The sequence below is a fragment of the Homo sapiens genome, chromosome 13 (assembly GCF_000001405.40).
Source record: "Homo sapiens chromosome 13, GRCh38.p14 Primary Assembly".
In the NCBI taxonomy this organism is placed as follows: Eukaryota; Metazoa; Chordata; class Mammalia; order Primates; family Hominidae; genus Homo; species Homo sapiens.
Genome location: NC_000013.11, coordinates 101,172,361 through 101,193,857, shown reverse-complemented (window position 1 = coordinate 101,193,857; position 21,497 = coordinate 101,172,361). Strand labels below are relative to the sequence as shown.

The window sequence follows — 21,497 nt, the reverse complement described above, 5'->3', positions numbered from 1 at the left end:
TTTTTATGTGAATCATCTTTGGAATTCGTGTTCCTCACCTTTGGATACAATAAATATTCAAGAGAAAAAAAATACAGGAAAAAAATAATTGCCCTCAATGATGAGTTCTGAAATACTTATAAGGATAAGTGATGTGTTGAAAAATTCTCAAAAGCAATTTTAGAAGGAATAATTTTTGCAGAGAGTGGCTGTCTCTTGGGCACCATAACAAGAAAAATAGTATATTGCCCTTGGTGATGGTGCGGTCAAGTATCAATAACAACACGCTTCATATTTTCATGAACAAAACACTTCTTCATAAGGTAATGAGATTATAGAAAAATCAACTCAAGGTAAAAATAATTACTTTGCACATGGACAAAGGATAAGTGGAAGAACTTATCTTCTAGTTCGTGGTTCATTTAACAATTAATTGCTCCTTTTTCAAATAGGTCCACTGTGTTCTGGGCCTTGAACAGTGTACCTCTAAGAAAGTTTGTTATCCTTACTGAAGGAAATTACAGTTAGGTCGCTTCTCAGCCTTTTGGCTAAGATCAAGTGTGAAAATTATACTTAGATTACTATGTAATTAGGCCTGGTAGATCCTGGGTAGACTTCACTGAATGCAGGATGCAATATTTGGAAAAGTACTTACTTTGGAGTCCTAATGCCTGGGTGCTACTTCTATTAGTGCCAGAAATTAATAGTGTGACTTTGGGATAATCACTTAACATCTTTGAGCCTCATTTTCCTTATCTTCAAAAAAAAAAAAAAAAGAAGGAATCAGATGAAATCATCTTTACCAGATTAGGTCTATCTTTAGGTCCCCCAGTGTAACTGGGTTTCTGTCTTGGTCTCAGTCCATCCTTGCATTATCCTGGACTTTATTTATTGGAATCCCAATATCTGAGAATTCAATTTATGTCTTTATCGTACTGAAGTCTATAAAGATGTTTTTAAAGAGTCACTAGACTCCAGTGGGGCAACTTGCTCCAGATATCATCATAGTCTCATTAAAAAGTATTTATTGACTACTAATGTGTATAGGATACATGAGTTGGAGACTCACAGATACACATATATTTAATTAGAAAAATATGTAAGAATGAAACTAGCCAAAGATATTGGCAGAAAGTGTGTGAGATTTTTAGCTTGGCTGGCCTTTGTTGGAATGCTCTATTTTTTATTTCTTTTTTGTTTGTTTGTTTGTTTTTTTGGTCTTGGCTTCTTCCATGATCTTGACCCTGTGCCTTGAAACTTTTTTTAAATCATGAAAAATGTGTTTGTCTTCAAGCTGTCCAGTGTGGCAATATCACTTAGAAATATTTCTTTTTTAAAGAGTCCCATGTTTTTAATATGATAGCTAAAATAATATGATAGAAAGGTACCATAAAAATAAAATTATATGCCTTTATATGCCTTAGACAAGTGTAATTCACTATAAAAATAAGTTTCTCTTAGCAGCAGGAACAAAGAAAAAGTAATCTGTTGAAAATGTTAGATAGCTTGCTGAAAGGAAAAAAATTAACGGCAAAAACCAAAGATCTTGAATTTGTTTCTAATTTGCTCAACAGCATTTACTGCGAACAAAACTAATTTTAATTCAGGGTAATTATTTTCTTATTCCACATCAAATAGTTAAATATCACATTTTTAAGATCTTTATTCTTATATCTTTCCTATGTGTTGAATCAAGACTGTTCTTGCCCTGATCAGATAAAAATCAATAATATTGAGATCAAAGTCTTCAAACATCACATGCTAATTTGAAGTTGTATGCAAGCCTAAAGCTAGTGTGTAATACCTTTGTTCTTTTCCTCTTAGGCATTTATGTCCATGTTCCAGATCCTCACCCAGGAAGGATGGGTGGACGTAATGGACCAAACTCTAAATGCTGTGGGACATATGTGGGCACCCGTGGTTGCCATCTATTTCATTCTCTATCATCTTTTTGCCACTCTGGTGAGTTCAGCATTTTTTTTTCAATTATATCTTGGAATTTATAATGGGATGAACATCAACAGATATTTGGCCTATTGTCAATTTCAAAATGGGAGCCAAAGGACTAATGCAGACTAATCTGGTTGGATGAGATCCCTCCTTCCATTCTAAGTTTCTACACATCAAAGAACTGCTTGATTTGTTAAGTTAGATATTTTCTCCATCAGGTACCAGTGTTTGTAAGAGGGAAAACAAGACAGAACAAAATGAAAATCTCACATTTACATACCAATTTAAGTATCCCCAAGCATTCACACCTAGATGATCTCAGGATCAAACCGGAACTCCATTATTATTTTTTTTCTCATGTAGAGACACTGTCTTCAGTTTCACTGCATCCTCTTCACAGCTGTAATTAAACTGAAGACAGAAGCTATAGACCTCAGGGTGCAGTCAGTTAATTAGAAATCAGCACAGTGGTTTTGTGCTATGTGCGACTGGAAAAAAACACATGGAAAAAAATAAAACACATTGCTGCAAGTATTGTAAAAGCACAAGAAAACTGAATACCAAAGTCCAGTAAGAACCGACTTCTGTCACACAAGCAGATTTTTCTCTTCAATATACTTCCATTAAAAACAAAGAAAAAATGTTATGAAATGCAGCCTGTGACTTACTAAGGAATGTAATACCAAATGCTCATCTCTATGTAATAAATTTGTTCATATTTAAGAAGCAAACCTAAGTTCTAACATCACGTTAGAAGTTCCAAGTTGAGGACTCAAATGTTTCCCTTTATCAGGAATACAAGAAATAAATACAACTGCTACTATTGTTTTTGGCAATATGTCTTACAGTTACAAAATATCTTACAATATTATTGCTAATCTTTGGAACACCCGATTAGATAGTATTCCCAGTTAACAGATGATAAAACTGATACTCAGAAGAGTTTAGTAATTTATCTGATGTCACATGGAATGTAAATATGACCAGAGTGTTCCCAGGTCTGTCTGATCTAGATTTGGTCCTTAGTCTTGCAGCTAATTATTATTGCTTCCCTGGATAATGAAGTTTAAAGTTGTCTGAAAAAATGTCTTTGTCAAATCAAACTTCTGCCAAAGAATCACTCACATCAAACAAATTACATATAATCTCTAAGGTCAGTTTTAATTCTAAATATCTATGAATGAAATAAGTCCTTGATAAACTAGATATAACTTAGAAGTTGTGTTTGCTATAGACAGACAGAGGCTTTCAAAACTAAGACATGTCCACCAAAAAGTTAATGAGAATTCATTGTTACATGGTGTGAAGTCATGGGCTCAAACAGTAGAACTACATAGACATAGTTTTGGCCTTTTTATACATGGAGTTGACTTTTAAAAGTTACGCGAAAGATAGGAACATTGTGCAATAGGAATGGAAGCCTGGCTTGCAAAGCTGAATCTGGCTGTGCTGGTGTTTGCACAACACTTAGCCCTGGGGTCTTTGCATCTTCCCTTCCAGGACCTTTAAGCCTGTGCCATTTATTCATTCATCCATTCATTTACACATCATTTATGCGTTCAACTAAGTTTATTAAGCTACTTGTGTTTAAGTTACTCTAAAACTATGGAATTGCTCAGACTGTTGATTGTGGGTTAAATGCAGGATAGATTTCATTGAAATCATCTATGTCAGGGAATATCAATCTAATTATTTTATAGTAATCAACCTAATCGTTTTCCTAATAAAGCAACAAAATGGTTTACTTTCCTCACTGAAAATGTTTCACACTCAGATATATGTTTGATTCTTAAATCAGGGACACAAAAAATGAAAGCTGGAAGAAAAAACTAGCCTATTACATTATTTAGTAAAGTAATATTTTTTCAAGTGAAAATTCTACTGGGGTCACTAATATAATAAAATAAAATATTAAAACTGGTATATAGCCTTCTTGGGCAATCTAAATCTTCTTTATGGGCTAAAATATGGCATTGGTTATAGATCACTTAAAGTTCATCCAAGGACTCCTGGGGTTCACCTGAGGCTTTAGGAATCCACAGAGCACAAGATGAAAACCAATCTCTAATTCTACTCTTTCCACTTACTGATTTAAGTATCTACCCAAAACATCTGTTCTAACTTTTTTATTGCAATTTTCAAACAACAGTTATAAGTTAAAACTGAAAATTGAAATAACTTGTTCTTTTATTCACACTTTTTAAAAGTCTGTAAGGCAATTGAGAATTCAGAAGTCTACATGTTAACGAGAACAGTTTGGTAAATGTGGTGTCGTACAAGACTATGAAATTGGAAGGCAAAAATCCAGATTCAGGTTCTAGCTCTGCTGGTCACTCGATATCTGATTTCTGAAGACTCACATAACTTCCCTGATCTCTCTGTTGTTTGTATCGGAAAGTGAGGATAATAATTCACAATACACCCAGTTTCCAAGGTTGTCATGTATCTGCGAGTTAACCCTGTATTTCTGAGGATGTTTTAGAGCACCAGCACTGAGCCCCTTTAAATGTAGATAAGACGGTTTGTGCATTTAAAGCCATATATTAATAAATGTTAAATTTATATTATGTTCAGATATTTTTAATTTATGCAAGTATCATTTATTAGGGTATCATTTATGCCCCTTCCTGAATTAATTTCCATTCTTCTTCTTTCTCTCCTTCCCTATACCTCTTCTCCCAGGCAATGACTCTGATAATTTTAATATAAATTCATTTTCCAATTTTTAGAACATATTTCACTAAATTTAACATTCTGTCATTCAGTAGAAGACTCAGTTTGTGTAACACTAAAGAGAAAAACAATTAAACTATACACATAGAGGATAAGGGGCATCCCTACTTCAGAGTTTTTAAAAGGTGAAAGTAAATGTGCATCTTAAAATCAATGAAATGCAGAGGTTTCCCACACATATATGCATCCATTAAAAATATAGTATTTATGGCCAGCACGGTGGCTCACGCCTGTAATCCCAGCACTTTGGGAGGCTGAGGCAGGTGGATCACCTGAGGTCAGGAGTTAAAGATCAGCCTGGCCAACATGGTGAAACCCTATCTCTACTAAAAATACAAAATATTAGCCAGGCATGGTGGTGAGCACCTGTAAGCCCAGCTACTCAGGATACTGAGGCAGGGGAGAATCACTTGAATCTGGGAGGTGGGGGTTGCAGTGAGCCGAGATCATGCTGTTGTACCCCAGCCTGGGCAACAACAGTGAAACTCCATCTCAAAAAAATATATATATATATACACACACACAGACACACACACACACGTGTGTGTGTGTATATATGTGTATATATGTATATATGTGTGTATATATGTATATATATGTGTGTGTATATATGTATATATATGTGTGTGTATATATATGTATACATATAGTATTTTAAACTTAAGGTTACCATCTAAATACATTTTATGCCCAAAATTCTGAAGATTAATATTAAGTTTTCTTAGTTTGCAAAGCACTGCTCCAGTCAACTGATGGCCATCCCTAGGGGAGTGGTCTGGTAATACATACTTCTCTCCCTATAAGTCCATGCTGGGGCCAAGTTATACATGGTCATGTGTTTCCCTCCTTATCAATTATTTGTGGCAGCAATTTTTAGAACAAATGGTATCAAACTCAACATATATTCTGCAGTTAAATTTTTCACTGGCTATTTTTTTCTGAGATCTTTTTATCTTACTCCACATGAAGCTAATTTGGTCATTGTTATAGAGAGCCGTATGGTACTCCGCGGACTGTGAATATGCCATATTTGTTTATCAGTTCCCTTTCTGATGGCTATTTAGGCTGTTTTCCAAAGTTGTACTTTTATAATGCTGCAATACATTTATGTATCGTGCCCACTTATGTGAATTTCTCTAGGATATATGTCCAAAAGTAGAATGCTTAGATCTTAGGTACTGCCCAAATTGCTCTATACTAGGGACCTGCAAGCCCAGATACCAAATCCAGCCCACCACCTGTATTATACAACCTGTGAGCTAAAAATGGTTTCTATAATTTAGTGGTTATACAGGTACCCACAGAATATCCTCAGTATTGCCTCATGACCCTCAACGTCTAAAATGTTTACTGTCTGGACCTTTAAGAAAACACTGTGGACTCCTGCTCTATAGATAAATTGTGCTAATTTACCCTCCCAAGTGCAATAGTTGAGAATTCCTGTGTTCTTACACTCTCACTTAGACGTCACATTGTTTGACATGTGAGGTTTTGGCAATCTTATGAGTGAACACTGGTATCAATTGGGCTTGCATTTTTGCATTTCCATAATTATTAATAAGGGAGCACCTCTTACTATGTTTATTGACCATCTTTTTTGTGACTCAATTGTTTGCTTTACCTATTTTCCTAAAAACAAATTTGTCTTAACTCATTTATTGGATATTTGTTGGATATTAATCTCTTGACTATTACATGTGTTGCGAATATCCTCTCTTAGGCAGTATTTTGTCTTCCAGTTTGTCTGTGATGTCTTTTGACATTCTATATATTTTTATTTCATTTTTAGTTAACAAATAATAATTGTATATATAGTAGTCCTCCTTTGTCCCCAAGGGAAACTTTCCAAGATTCCCAGTAGATACCTGAAACCATGGATAGTACAGAACCCTATATATACTATGTGTTTTATTATACATACATAACTTTGATAAAGTTTAATTTGTAAATGAGGCATAGTAAGAAATCAACAACAATAATAACAAAATAGAACAGTTATGACAATATACTGTAATAAAAGTTATGTGAATACGCATTCTCTCTCTGTCTCCATCTCTCCTTTTCAAAATGTCTTAATATTTTCAGGCTGTGGCTGACCACAGGGAACTGAAACTACAGAAAGTGAGACAGTGGATAAGGGGGGGGCCTACTGTATTTATGGGGTACAACGTGATGTTTTGATACATGCATACATTGTGGAATGATCAAATTAGGTCAAAACTATCGGTTTTTCACTGATGGTCTGTATTTATTTTGACCTCATGCTTAAGGAATTCTTTCCCACCTGAGGTAATACAAATATTCTCCTATATCTTCTTCTAATTGTTTACAATTTTTGCTTTTCACCTTTAAGTCTTTAGCTCATCTCTACTTACTAGTTAGATATAGCATAAGCTAGATGAAATATACTGTTTAAATAAAACTCAAATCAATTTTTCTCAGATTTATATGAGAAACTGCAAGGTTTAGAATATTTATTTGATTTATCTGATTATGAAGTCTAACACAAAAAAGGTAAACTGTTCAAACTTTTAAATTTCTAAATTATTTTTTAAATGATATATAATTTAATAAAAGGAAACACTATATAACTAAATTAAAACAAAGATTATCACTTCTATACTACCCAAAAAAAGTCTAATACTGAAGTCACTTCCCCAGTTCACAAAAAATTTTGCTTAAAACATGGTCAGCAGTTGTTTCTCTTTTCCTTTGTACCCTTAGACTAACAGTTACTGTAATGGGCTTTATGAAGTGAGTTCAATTTGATTTGATACAGTTTTACTGAACCTCTACTACCACGTGCAGGTACTAACCTACGTCCTGGCCAAAGTGGGAAAGAGCTTAATTCATGTCCTCTTAGGGGCTACAAATAATTGGAAATTAGCAATAACGAACACAGACAGGCTAACCAACAAACAAATAAAACCAGTGGTTCCAAGGCCTAAAGATGCAAATGGTAAGAGAGGCATGTGTACATTGCTACTTGCTATGTGATCAATAAACATCTGCTTCCCAGTTGTTCCCAATCTGCCTTATGAGAAATATCAAAAGTAGTGGCAGTGAAACAGCTGGAGATAGTCTGTGGGCTAACATATAAACACATGCGTGAGGGTGACAGGTCTGTGTTACACACACATTGCATGCCCCTAAAAACTAAACTTCACAAGTTAAAATATTCCATAAGCCTGTCTTCAGAGCTGAACTTACCTTAAAATGAGCATTTTTGTTTAATTGTATGTTTCCTTTTACAAAATGCTACAACGCATTTTAACCCAAATGGGTGAGAAGGGAAAAAAAAAGTAGTCTGTGTAAACATACAAGCTCTGATGTGTCTTTTGTTCACACCGAACAGTGGTGCCATACAACTTGATGAGTTCCTGATTTAGTCTTCCCAGGGACAGGCATGTGCCAAGCAGCGAAAAATAAAATGTGTGGTTGCAGCTTGTTCTGGAATAAAGAACAGCAGGCTATTTCATCACCCCTGGGGGCACCAATTTTCAGCCCACAATGAAAATCAAGCTGAAGTATATAGCAAATGCATATTCATAACCTCCATGTATTGTCCCTTTCAAACATCTCTCTCTTCCGCCAGGTATGTATTCTGTATTTCTGTCCTGACTGATTGCAGTTTATTGAATGCTTGTTAAATTCATCTTTTTCCCCATCTTTGCCAATGATTTGGGGATAGGGACTATGGAAGACCTAACAAGTTGAAAGACTCCATTTTTCCTGCAATGTTTTTCTGTCTATTACTGTTTCAAAGGAAAGCCCTGTGATGTGAATACTGAAAAGAAAGAAAATGTAATTAAGCGTTCATTGTGGGTAGTCTTTTTGTTACCTTTGAAGTGCTGAAATTAACACAGCAATCTCTTGATTTTGCCTCGGTAGTGGCAGCTTGCTGAGAATAGTCATATTTTGCTGACACAAATGGGCATTCCAAAGTGTAAATTAAATAACTTGATTGTATAGAATTCATTTAAAAGTGCATCTGTGTTGAACGTATCCCATTTTACACTGCGCTGATTACATTTGACTTTTTGTTGACCCATATAAAAAGTGAAATTGTTTCATACCACAGGCGGCAAGACAGCTTAGGATAGGGTGATTATAAATGGTAAACAGGAAAAGAAAAACACAAGAGTGTGGGACATTGATTCCTGCTGTGTTTCTAGTGTATATTTCAAAATAATTTAAAGATAAGAAATTATTAATAAAGTTCACAGCAAAGAAGAAAATAAGATTAAAGGTGAAATTTCAGCTAAAGGGACATCTTTAAGCTATATAAAAGGAAAAAAATCATAAAATTAAACTTTATAAAAAGAAAGAAAACTGAAAAGGGAAAGCTATATAGGGTAAGGTCATGGCTATCTGCAGAGTCAGAGAGAATGTAAAATAGGATATGTTGCTGCAGGGAGAGAAATTTTCAACCAGAAAATCCATTGTGAATGACAAGGCTGCCCTCTTGCAAAAATAAATCATACTTTTCAGCTGTTTGAATCATGCTAATCCAAAAGTCTTATTCCGAGGGAATGAGAACTACATTATGTTGGACAAAATGATCTGCATCACAACAAAATTGGAAGAAATAATTATACTTGCAAATGCAACTATTTCAGTAATTTATTGAATTTGACTGAAATTTATTGTAGTTAAATAGAAAAAAAATAAATATATCTGTGGTCACATGTATAAAACTTAAACAGAGCAAATAACTACCACAGCATTAACTGAGGTGAATCTGGGCTGTTTCAGAGGAGAAAAAGGAAGAGGAGGTATTAGAGAAAGAGGAGCGTCATAAAGAATATTAGAGAAATCAAACGCCTGTGAGACCCTGGTCCAGGTACCAGTTTGAACCTGGAAAATTACGCTTTTGAAATCCACTAAGCTGAAAGGTCAAAATCCTATTATATCATTCATAAATATTCTGAGAGAGACTTCCCAGACTTCAGCAGGCCTGATAATGTGGCATTTTCCACACTGAATGCATTGTCAATGCTAAACATACCTTAGCAATGGGCATTATAATCTGAGGGAAATAAAGAATTAGATATCTGAAATACATTGTTATTCTCCACTTTTTCATTGACATCACTGATTCATAATGTATCAATATCGGTCATAAAATTAAAAAGTGGATACATACATCAGCTGTATATTACACAGTAGGACAAATGCTGTGTTGCATATTAATATGATCAAACGCTATAGACCTGTTAAAAGTGCCAAATAGTAAATGCATGAAAAAATAGATATTTGGCTTTCTTTTTTACAGCATTGTACAAACTAAACACCACTGTGTTGAAAGCATACATGTACTTAGCAGGGTTCAAGAGGAGATGAAAGGTGGTGTCATTAGCCTTTTTCCCCTGAAATTATATCATTAAAAAAAAATAGGGACATAGTATATCCTGCTGCAGTATAAATTGAAATATCGGGCCAGGCGTGGTGGCTCCCCCTATAATCCCAGCACTTTGGGAGGCCGAGGCGGGTGGATCACCTGAGGTCGGGAATTCCAGACCAGCCTGATCAACATGGTAAAACCCTGTGTCTACTAAACACACAAAAATTAGCCTGGTGTGGTGGCAGGCACCTAAAATCCCAGCTACTTCGGAGGCTGAAGCAGGAGAACCACTTGAACCCGGGAGGTAGAGGTTGCAGTGAGCTGAGATCGCACCACTGCACTCCAGCCTGGGGGACAGAGAGAGACTCTGCCTCAATCAATCAATCAATCACTCAATAGAAATATCACATAAATCTAAATATTAAGAAATAAATAATGCAAAGCAAATTAGTTGCATAATTTAGAACAGTCAAAACACAAAGGTAAAAGTGTTTTATACATATGATGACACTCCTGTGATTTAATGTGGCAAGTCCCTGTAAAATTCCTTTATTACATCAATACCGTTTTAATATGAACCTGTAAATCACATTTAGTGGCTATAGAAAAACCTTTTGGCACAGCAACATGTGGTAGTGTAGGTAAACATTAGCTGAAGGTAATATGCAGACATCGCTGTAATGGGTTCTGATTACTAATGAGCATTACCTCAGCTTTCTGTAAAAACAGAATAAATGAGAACACTCAGAGAACTGAAAAATGGTTCTTCCTTTCAGAATGAGGGCTTGTCACCCACTCCCATGACTTTCCATACCATGTGTTGGCAAGTGTCTGACACCCAGGTCGACCTGCTCTTTCAGTCCAAATCCACATTGCACTGGGTTTGTAGGAAAATACTGTATCATTGATAACATAAATTAAATATGATGGACACCAAGCTGCCATTCTTCCTTCACTTCTACCCTTTATCGCAGTGCTTATTGTCACCTTATTAGAGTCTGTGAGAAAAGAACCGCAAAGTCATTCTCACCTCCTGGCAATCAGCTACAGACTCACCCTGCACCTCCTGAATCTTCTGTTTCCATTGCAAAGACACAGCCAAAGCCTTGGGTCAGACTTCAGTCATCTCTCACCCGGAGTGCCAGTTGCCACCTTATCACAGTGCCCTACATGCCAGGGACAGTTTGATGAGGATCAATCTGAAAGTCCACATTCAAATAGGGCTTCAGCGGAAACCCAAGCCCCCTACCACACACATACATCTTGAACCAGTTTCTGTTTTGTAAGTTTGTGCTTTTGTCATGCCACTGTCAAATTAATTGAAAAATGATGCCTAAACAAAGATATTTGCTGAATAAAATTAGGTTTATGCTACTTTCAAGCAAACTTCAAACTTTATTATATTATTTTTAAATTTGTTGCCTCCCCAAGAGTTTGTTCTAATTCTTTAAGTTTGGGCCTTCCTGTTGTGAAGTCACGCAGCGTTTTCCCAGAGAAGCCAAAGCTCTTCCTTTAGGAGTCTTGCCTTCTCCTATCCACAGCAAATATCAAATGCATCTGCCTTGAGGAGTCAGTGCAGCTGGCATGCCGTGGCTCTCTCTGTCCTGCTCTGAGGGTGGCTTTTCTCTGTTTATCCCAAGGAAAAAGTATATACCAGTTTCTTGTTTAACCAATGTAAGAAAACATTACATATCTTTTTTTTTTTTTTTTTTTTTTTTGAGATGGAGTCTCGCTCTGTTGCCCAGGCTGGAGTGCAGTGGCACGATCTCGGCTCACTGCAAGCTCCGCCTCCCGGGTTCACGCCATTCTCCTGCCTCAGCCTCCGGAGTAACTGGGACTACAGGCACCCGCCACCACGCCCGGCTAATTTTTTTGTACTTTTAGTAGAAACGGGGTTTCACCATGTTAGCCAGGATGGTCTCGATCTCCTGACCTCGTGATCTGCCGGCCTTGGCCTCCCAAAGTGCTGGGATTACAGGCGTGAGCCACTGCACCCGGCTAGAAAACATTATATATCTAATAACATTTTGTCAAACTGCACTTAACCTTGTCTAGTTACTATTTCAGTGAGCCAGTTTATTTTTTTGTTTTGTTTGTTTTTAGTTTTTGGAGACAGGGACTTGCTCTGCCATCCAGGCCTAGAGTGCAGTGGCACATTCACAGCTCACTGCAGCCTCGACCTCCCAGGCTCAAGAAATCCTCCCACCTCAGCCTCCTCCCAAGTAGCTGGGGCCACAGGCATGCGCCACCATGCCTGACTAATTTTTGTTTTTTTTTTTTTTGAGAGACAGGGTTGCCCAGGCTGGTCTCAAATTCCTGGGGTCAAGCAATCCTGCCTCAGCTTCCCAAACTGCTAGGATTACACGCATGAGTCACCATGCCCAGCTGAGCCAGTTTAAACTTGCTGCATTACATGCATTAAAAACAAAAACACACACACAAAAAGCCCCAGAACTTTTAAAAGGAAAAATTTAGCAGAAAGAAACTGATGTCATCACTTTGTGATTATTCCAGCCTCCCTCTCTTATCCGTGACCTCTGTGGCACTCAAGACGCCTGTCCATCCTGCCTTCCTCTCCAGCCTCCAAACCCTCTGCCTGGAAGCCAGACTCTGGCCAGACTTACTCACCAGGCCCTCACCACACCACCTGGAATGCGTTCCTCACAGCTCTTTTCCAAAATCAGTCTTCTCCTTGGCATCTGCGTGGCTTGGGAGAGCATCCTTGGCTCTCTGTCATTGTCTCACAATCTTCGATAAGTAGTGTTCGGAAAGTGCCCCCCTGGCCCATGTGCCCAGATGGGCTCTCCAAGTCTAAATGCTTCAAAATGGTACAGAACTAAATGTGTGAATTTATGATGGGGCTTCATTTCTGGTCCTCCTTCTTCACACTTGCGTGGCCGCCCTTCCCATCCGCTCTCCAATTTTCTTTCACGTTTCTGCTTTCTGAGAAGAAATAAGACTGATTTCTGGGATGGAGCATGAGAGAGACAGATGCAGAGAGAGAGAGAGACAAAGCGTGTTTCCGTGGGAGATGCCCACACACCTCACTTGGGAGCATCGGCAGTGTTGGTACCCACACAGGTGTGTTTTGACATCCAAGACTTGACCCTAATTCTTCTTGGAACCTGATGGGGAGAGAACCTTGCTGGGGGCCCCACATGGGCCAGGGGCAGCCAGGGCAGAGTTGGGCAGCTGCCTGAGAGTTCTCGGTGGAGAGGCCCGGAATATCCCACAAGAACAAGTCTCCGTTAGTTCCAAGTGGAATGACAGCCCTTTCTGAGTTTCCCTGAGTTGAGAGCTAATACATGTGTTGTGGGAACAACAGCCCAAGCCAAAGGCCACGCGGAGGCCAGGCGTGGTGACTCACACCTGTAATCCTAGCACTTTGGGAGGCCAAGATCCACGGATCTCATGAGCTCAGGAGTTCAAGACCAGCCTGGTCAACCTTGTCTCTACAAAAAATAAAAAAAAAAAAAAAAGTAGCCAGGCATGGTGGTAGGTGCCTGTAGTCCCAGCTACTTGGGAGGCTGAGGTGGGAGGATCGCTTGAGCCCATGAGGTGGAGGCTGCATGAGTTGAGATCACACCACTGCACTCCAGCCTGGGTGACAATGTGAGGCCCTGTCTCAAAAAAAAAAAAAAAAAAAAGACCAGGTGGAGAGTATAGTGGATTAAATGGGCCCCTACAAAAGATAGGACCATGGCTTAACCCACAGAACCTATGAACACGACCTTATTGGAAAAAGAGTCTTTGCAGATGTAATTAAATTAAGGATCTTGTGATGAGATCATCCTGGATTATCTGGGTGGGCCCTAAGTCCAATGACAAGCGTCCTTGTAAGACACAAAAGAGCACAAGACACAGAGAGAAAGCCTTGTGACTGGTGTTAGATAAAGGCCAAGTGACTGGTGTTAACAAAGCCACAAGCCGAGGGACAGAGGAGGCCACCAGCAGCTGGAAGAGACAAGGGAGTATTCTCCCCCGTGGCCTTTGGAGAGAGTGTGGTCTTGCCGACAACTCAATTTTGGACTCTGGCCTCCAGAATTGTGATCAAATAAATGTCTGTTGTTTGAAGCTACCAACTCCGTGCACGGTGTTACAGTACTCTAGGAAGCGCATATGGAGGACATCACTGGGAATCAGAGCTCTTAGCTTTGGGAGCTGAGATGGTGGTCAAGTCAGCAGAAAGAAAGCCCCAAACCCCCTGTACAGCCTCATCAGTTCCCCTGATGGGGGATGGAGGACATATTACCCAGCTTGTAGTGGGTAACCTTGACCTTAAACTACCCTAAAAAGAAAAGGAGCATTTATTCAAATGTAACTGAGCTTGAAAGGACTGAATGGAACTGATGTAGCAAGATAATGTTTCCAGCCCCCAACAGAAATGGAGGGATTGTGCACCAAATTCAATTCATTTGTAGAAAAACCAAGAAATTTATTTTAGCTTTGCATAACTAATTTTATGTCTGTATATTTTCAGACATTGTATAGCTATACTACATGTCAGGGTTGCTCGGGGAGAATTAAATGAAAAAAAAGCTGCAATTTGTTGAGCTATTATTACATTTGTAATATTTTACAAACGAGAGCACCGAAACTCACTGTGGGCTGGCAGTTGCCACGTGGCTCATAGCTGGCACAGCCTGTTTGCTACCTGAGCTCTCTGACTCCAAGCACAGTGCTCTCTTCTATGTCTGCTTAATTCAGTGATAAACATCACTGCAGTGAGTGCAATATTGTATTTATGTATCAGACCAGGCAGTGCCTCACACATCCATGGAGTCCAGTCAACTGTTTGTCAAATTTAATAGAATAACATAGCCTTGCTGTCCTTAAGTAGCCTGCCCTCTGTCCAGTTTGGGGGATATAATTAAGAATAAAATCTCCTGCCAACCCACGAAACCTCTCCTTAAAGGTAGAGGAGAGAGAGCCCAGTTTTATTATTGAAAAAGCTCTAACGCAGGCTGCAATGCACATCACTGGCAATCTGCTAAAGAGATCACGGAGGCAGAAAATACCTCCCTCTTTTATATCACCGCTTTCCATACGTGTTCTCAAGATAGAAATAACTAGTCCTCAAGTAAGAAGGCTTGACAGCACCACTTGTTAAATATAGTTTATCCTAAATTCACCTGGTAAGTGGGGTGGCCATCTGTGGGAGCTGATTGCCTTTATCCAAAGGAAAATTAAAACTTCTCATATTTCCGTGACAAGTAGGTAGGTTTACAACTTGGAGCCAGATGTCTAAACTCCCACCCTCTACGGAGAAGGGGAGACGGAGGCTCTTGTCTTCCTTGATGTTTACATTACTTCAAGGAGACAGCCCTCAAGGAAAACATTCTTTTAGGTTGTAGAACTGGTGAGAAGCTTATTTGGCTCTTAAAAGTATTTATATACATCTCAAACAGAAAGGGAAAGAATTTACAATTCCAAGTCTTATAAAGGAAATGCTCTAAGAAAAGGGAGGCGAACAGGATCCCTTCCGACCCCCCTTTTTTTAGATTCATGTTTGTACTTTCACTAGAGAGAGAGGAAACATGATTAAATTAGGACACAGAACAATGCCTGCTCCAGTGCCCAGGTGTGAGAGAAGGGGTATAAGATATCCCCTCCTGCAGAAGGAAACCAGCAGGTGAACATCTCAGAATTCGGGGTGAGAAATCAAGACAGGGGAAGGTAGACTCTGCCTCTGATATTACTTTCTGTCGTCGAGGTATTGGGAAATGGGCTGAACATGGAGCAAACTTTAAAATGTCCAGTTTGGAATGATGTCTGGTTCAGAATAAGCCTGATGCCCAGTTACCAGTGGTGTACCAGTCATGGTGATGTTAATAAAAACCCTCTGGTCTAGATCATTCTGTATCTTCTTCAAGTTATGGTAAGACTCCAAAGGGCATGGCTGTTGAAAAGAAGGGTGCTGGCATTTGTCCCAAGCCAAGCATATCCCATCATAATTTAATCATGTTGATATACTCATTAAAATTGAAAAAGAGCTAGCCATTAACTTCTGCATAATAACTTCTCTAGCACTGGCTGAATTATCTCAACTTTCTGACCTTCATGCTTAACCACCTAATATTAACAAATGGGAATAATTCATTAAGAAGAAAACTGAAAAGAAAAATATGAGTTAGAAATGAAAAAGATGATCAAGTGAATATGGGACTTAAAAAAATTCAAAGTTGAAGAGGGACTACAGCGTAAAATATTTTTAAAAATTATGCTATTTTGTTTTATTTTATTTACCTGTTCTAAAAGAAGCATACATTTTTTAAAAACTGAGAAAATCATAACATTTTTTAAAAGAGGAAAAATTGTATTACTCCAATACACAAAAGCAAGTACCATTAATATTTCTAAAGTACCTCCTTCAAGCATTTTCTCTATTACTCCGTTATATGCATAGTTGAGCTTCTACCATATATATATATATATATATATACTCGTATTTACTGTTATAATGTGTTTTCAACACCATAAAAATTCACCAGTGTATTAGGTATCTGTTGCTGTGTAATAAATTACCCACACATTAGAAGCCTACCAGGAAATAGATGTTTATTATCTCAATTAGTTTCTCAAGGTTGGGAATCTGAGACAGGCTTAGCTGAGTGTTTCTAGTTCAAAGTGTCATGAGGTTGCAGTTGAGATGTTGTCTACAGCTGCAGTCACCTTGAAGTTTTACTAGGGCTGGAGTGCCTCTTTCCAAGATGGGTCACTCCAGTGGCTGTTGGCAGGAGGCCTCAGTTCCTCACCACATGGACCTCTCCAGAGGGCTGCTTGAGCATCCTCACAACATAGCACCTGCTTCCACAGAGCAGGTGATCTAGGAGAGACCAAGGGTAAAGACACAGTGTATTTTATTGCCTAGCCTCATAAGTCACACACAATTATTTCTGCAACCTGCTGATGACACAGGCCAGACATATTCAGTGTGGAAGGGAACTACACAAAGGCATGAACCAGGAGTCTAGAACAACGCTGGAGGCCATCTTGAAGAGTAGCTACCACATGGGAATTTGTAATGGCTGCATGTATCTTATCACATAAATCTCTATAACTGTATTGACTATTCATGCAAAGTTGGATGTTATTTCTAATATTTCCTTATTACAAACAACCCTCTAATAAGCACCTGTGTATATTAAGCTTTTCATCAATAGTTCAGATCACTTTTTTAGAATATTATCACACAAGTGGGATTGTTGAGTTCAAAAAAACCTTTTTCTTAATTTCCTTTTTAAGTAAGTTGGTTTCATAAAGCAAGTTAACATATTATTTCAATGAACGTATGCATTTTATTTCATGTATTTGTGATAAATACCTTGAAATGCCTATGCAATGATTCATCACTGCATGTTTATTTTGCATTTAATGAATTATATACTCAATATATTTTAGGTAGCTATATTATACATATAATATTTTGATACTTATGGCATGTGGGTTTTTTCATTGTTATTTCACCATTTTATAGATCCTCCTGAGTTTGTTTGTTGCTGTTATTTTGGACAACTTAGAACTTGATGAAGACCTAAAGAAGCTTAAACAAGTAAGTAGTGTGTGGGGGATTTTTTTTAAAAAGGACAAAAAACCAGGGGCAAACCATTTGCTTATAGGCAATATTAAAAATTTGAGCTTCAAAGTAAAAATAAAATGTAATAAGGCTATCGAAGGTGGTAAAATGGTGTTAAGTTTAACTTTTATCTAATATTAACAAGGGAAACTTTCTATTACTCTATAAATATCCTAGGAATAGTTTTATTATTTTTGAATAAAAGTAAAATGGGCAGAGTATAGTTAATTGGATTTGGAGACTGTTCTCCTTCTGCCATTAAATGAAGGTTGTTTGGAAATGAGATGCCTCAAGGCCAGATTTTGCATAATTATATGTAATAGTCTTTATCATCATCATAAAAATACTACAATCAACCTGCCTGGTCTCTAGACACTAAAGGACAATTTAGTCTGGGTGCCCATAGTGAGTATAAGAAACAGAATAAATGATCAAATGTGGACCCAGTTATGTATGAAAACAGACGGGATGTCATCATGGTGAAAGTTATACCCCAGAGAATGAAACTAGAAATAGGTGAATGCTGTGTTCTTAATGGCAGGAGGATTACAGCTATCGTCAATCATTCCTATAGCTTCTGTTGCATGGAGGATATTTGGCTTGAATATTTGGCTCTATCAAAGAGTACAGACCCTTTGAGAAGAAGAGCTCGCAAGAGAGTGGGACAATGGGTGGAACGTTCTTGTATCACCCTCCCCAAAACTGAGAGAATAGTTGAGATGTTAACTACCAAACTCTACCCAACTGTTAGAATGTTATAATGTTGACAGAACCACACCTGTTATAATGTTAACAGAACCATGGCTCTGAAACTTTCCATTTGGAATTATAAGCAGGCCCTCCATATTCAGAATTTCCCAAAGCTCTCTATTTTTAACAAAGCAAAAAGTATAACCTATTTAAATTTTTTAATTTTTTTTAATCTATCTCATGATCAGGTTAGGCATTTCATTTTATTACTCTTACCTTTAAAGCCTATGCTTTTAACAGAGGGTATCAACAAGGAAAAAAAAAAACAGAACAAACAAACAAAAAAAAATTGTTATGAAGATTCCTACTTGGAGCATACCAAGAAAGGTTTTGAGTTCTTTACCATCCTACAGCTACCCAGGCAAATGGGCATCTTCCCGGCTCTGCTAGAGATGATTTCTTCCCCGTCTTTTCACTCTGTGGCAGCAGTGATAGATTCTTCAAATGAGAGTTGGGACATTCCTTTATGCCATCAATGAAAATACTTTGTGTGGCTTCTAGTTGCAGAAAAAAATATCTAATAGGTGAATTCAAGATTGAAAGTGACCAGCCATATAATTAGACATGATCAATAAAAATCTGCTGCTGTAGAACCACTTTAGTCCATGCTTTACAAATCTGGTATTGAGCTGTCACTTTTCCTTCATGCCATGGTTATTATGCACAGATATGTACTATCCTCTGAGACAGTATGTTACAATGTGTATTCTATAGATAAAATTTAAAATATCCAATTTTTTTTAGCTAGTGCTACCGCCAGGTTCCATATGCTTTTAAATAACCATATAATTCCAGCCCTCATTTGTAAAATAATTTTTCTGCTGGAAAGCAACAAAATAAACTTGTATGTAGCAATTTTTTCAGGATTGTGAATTCAAACCTAAGGATACTTTGCAGTGTTCATTTTTTTCAACATTTTAACTTATTTATATATACACGTATATGCATAGCCTACTTAAATTTTTTGTCATCTTTATATCTAGTGGTCACAATAGGCATTTCATATCTGACCCAAAGTGAAGAAGCAACAATAAAAAGTCAGGACTTTAATTGGCATTGACATTCTTCCTGGGCTATAAAGTTTTAATAAACTATATGGCCCTTCACTTTGGGTAAATGTCATTATTTATAAAATGGCTTTTAATCACTTGCTAGATATTAGTGAAGCTTTGTGTTTCTGGAAATTCTGTATATCAGAACTGGTTATCCAATTGCACTAGCCTACAATTTGGACCATATACTCTGGGTATTTGGGCATTGAAAACTCCAATCATAACGCAGCAATTCCATTTTTGTTAGTACTTTTTACACTATTCTTTATTCATGGTTGGACTGAAACTATGTATCTATTAAATTCTTCTATTAATTTCATACTTGAAACTCGTTGAACCTGAAATTCATTATAGCAAATATTATTAAACTAAGTTAAAGTGTTCCTGGTTAACTTTCTCTCATTTTTGTATGATTATGTTTTGTTTTCAGTAGTTTTTAACAACGGTGTCATTTTTTATGCCCCTGATTTTTCTTATTTTCAGTGATCTTGGCCTTTAAGGTAGGGCTCATTTGCATATTTTTAAAAACACACACATTCTCATGCATTCACTTTCATATACACATGTGGTCATGTGGATACCTGAAACTTTAGACTGTCTTTTACAGATTCTTTTAAAAAACAATGAAATTGGTACCCTAAATATTTGTTTCAATTGTCCATGTACAAATCCAGTCCTTAAGATTTAAACTTATGTACTCTATTTTTACTACTCCCAGATAGAGAGTAGAGTGGAGGAAATGTTCAAAAAAAGTATTTGATTTTCTTAATGTTTCAAGTTTCAGAAAGCGCTATGCATTCCAAATTCCATCTTTGCTCCGTTCAAACTTTTTGCTTCTTTTACCACATCTGCTTGTATGTAGATTCTCATAGCTATGGTGACATTGGTTGAATTCTTGCTCAGTATCAAGTGTTTTATGTTTTCACTTATTTTTCAAAACGACCCATTCAATGCAGGTGTTATTATTATGTCCATCTTACAGATGAGGAAACTAAGACATAGAGAGGTTAAGTAACTTGCTCAAGGTTACACAGCCAACAAATGTCGGAGCTAGAATTTGAACCTAGGCAATTTGGACCGAAAGCCCACACTCTTAACCTCTAAACTGTATTGATTCAAACTAAAGCTATATAAAGGCCAAACATGAGTCATGCATACTGGGGAGGGCACTCATAGGACTATGAATTATTTGTTTATAAATAATGATGTTGTAGATAACAAAGGCATCCTCATATTCAAGTAACTGTTAGAATGAAGGACAGTTTCTGAGAATAGCGGTGAATGCAGCAACCCAATCGTTAAAACTATTCACATTAGTTCTTTGTTTCCTCTCAAAACTCAGAGGATCTAATCAGAGCCACTGGAGTTACAGTCTTGCTGCGCGATGGCAAACGCCACTCAAGGTGCCACTTTGCAATGATCTTCTTGGAGTGATGATCCTCCTCAGACGCCTACATAACAGGCTTGCAGCATAGCAGCATTTTAGTGACTTTAATGTCTTTTATTATCGATATGTTTTTAACTGTGTTAATATGTAAAAGTTGGTTCATAGATTTTTTTCAAGAGTAATAAAAACCAGGGCCTGTTCGCTCTAAAATGGGGGTGTTGGCCAGGCGCGGTGGCTCACACCTGTAATCCCAGCACTTGGGGAGGCTGAGGTGGGCGGATCACGAGGTCAGGAGATCGAGACCATCCTGGCTAACACGGTGAAATCCCGTCTCTACTAAAAATACGAAAAACAAAAAAATTAGCTGCGCGTGGTGGCGGGCACCTGTAGTCCCAGCTACTTGGGAGGCTGAGGCAGGAGAATGGCGTAAACCCGGGAGGCGGAGCTTGCAGTGAGCCAAGATGGCGCCACTGTACTCCAGCCTGGGTGACAGAGCGAGACTCCGTCTCAAATAATAATAACAATAAATGGGGGTGTTAACATGCAACACTCAGTAGGGCTCAACAGAGGAAGAGGAAGCAGCCCTCATACAGGGGAGAGGAGAGGCCGCCCTTAAGCTAAGGGTGTGAGATGGTGGTAGAAAGTGAAAAGGTACTAGTGAAGAAATTATAATGGAAAAGAAGGAAGAAGTGAAGTAGGAAAACACCAGATATGAAATAAAGAGTA

The 21,497-nt window shown here is 37.8% G+C and overlaps 1 protein-coding gene across 10 annotated transcripts in view; it reads left to right on the top strand.

Annotated features, from left to right (window-relative positions):
- The window catches only part of NALCN (sodium leak channel, non-selective), a 363,404-nt gene that overhangs the window by 223,322 nt on the left and 118,585 nt on the right, over nt 1–21,497 (top strand). For all 10 annotated transcript variants that reach the window (XM_011521069.3, XM_011521067.3, XM_024449336.2 and 7 more), the window contains 2 exons: nt 1,804–1,941; nt 17,484–17,558. In XM_011521069.3, coding sequence (XP_011519371.1) covers nt 1,804–1,941; nt 17,484–17,558 — 213 coding nt within the window. The remainder of the gene's footprint in view (nt 1–1,803; nt 1,942–17,483; nt 17,559–21,497) is intronic.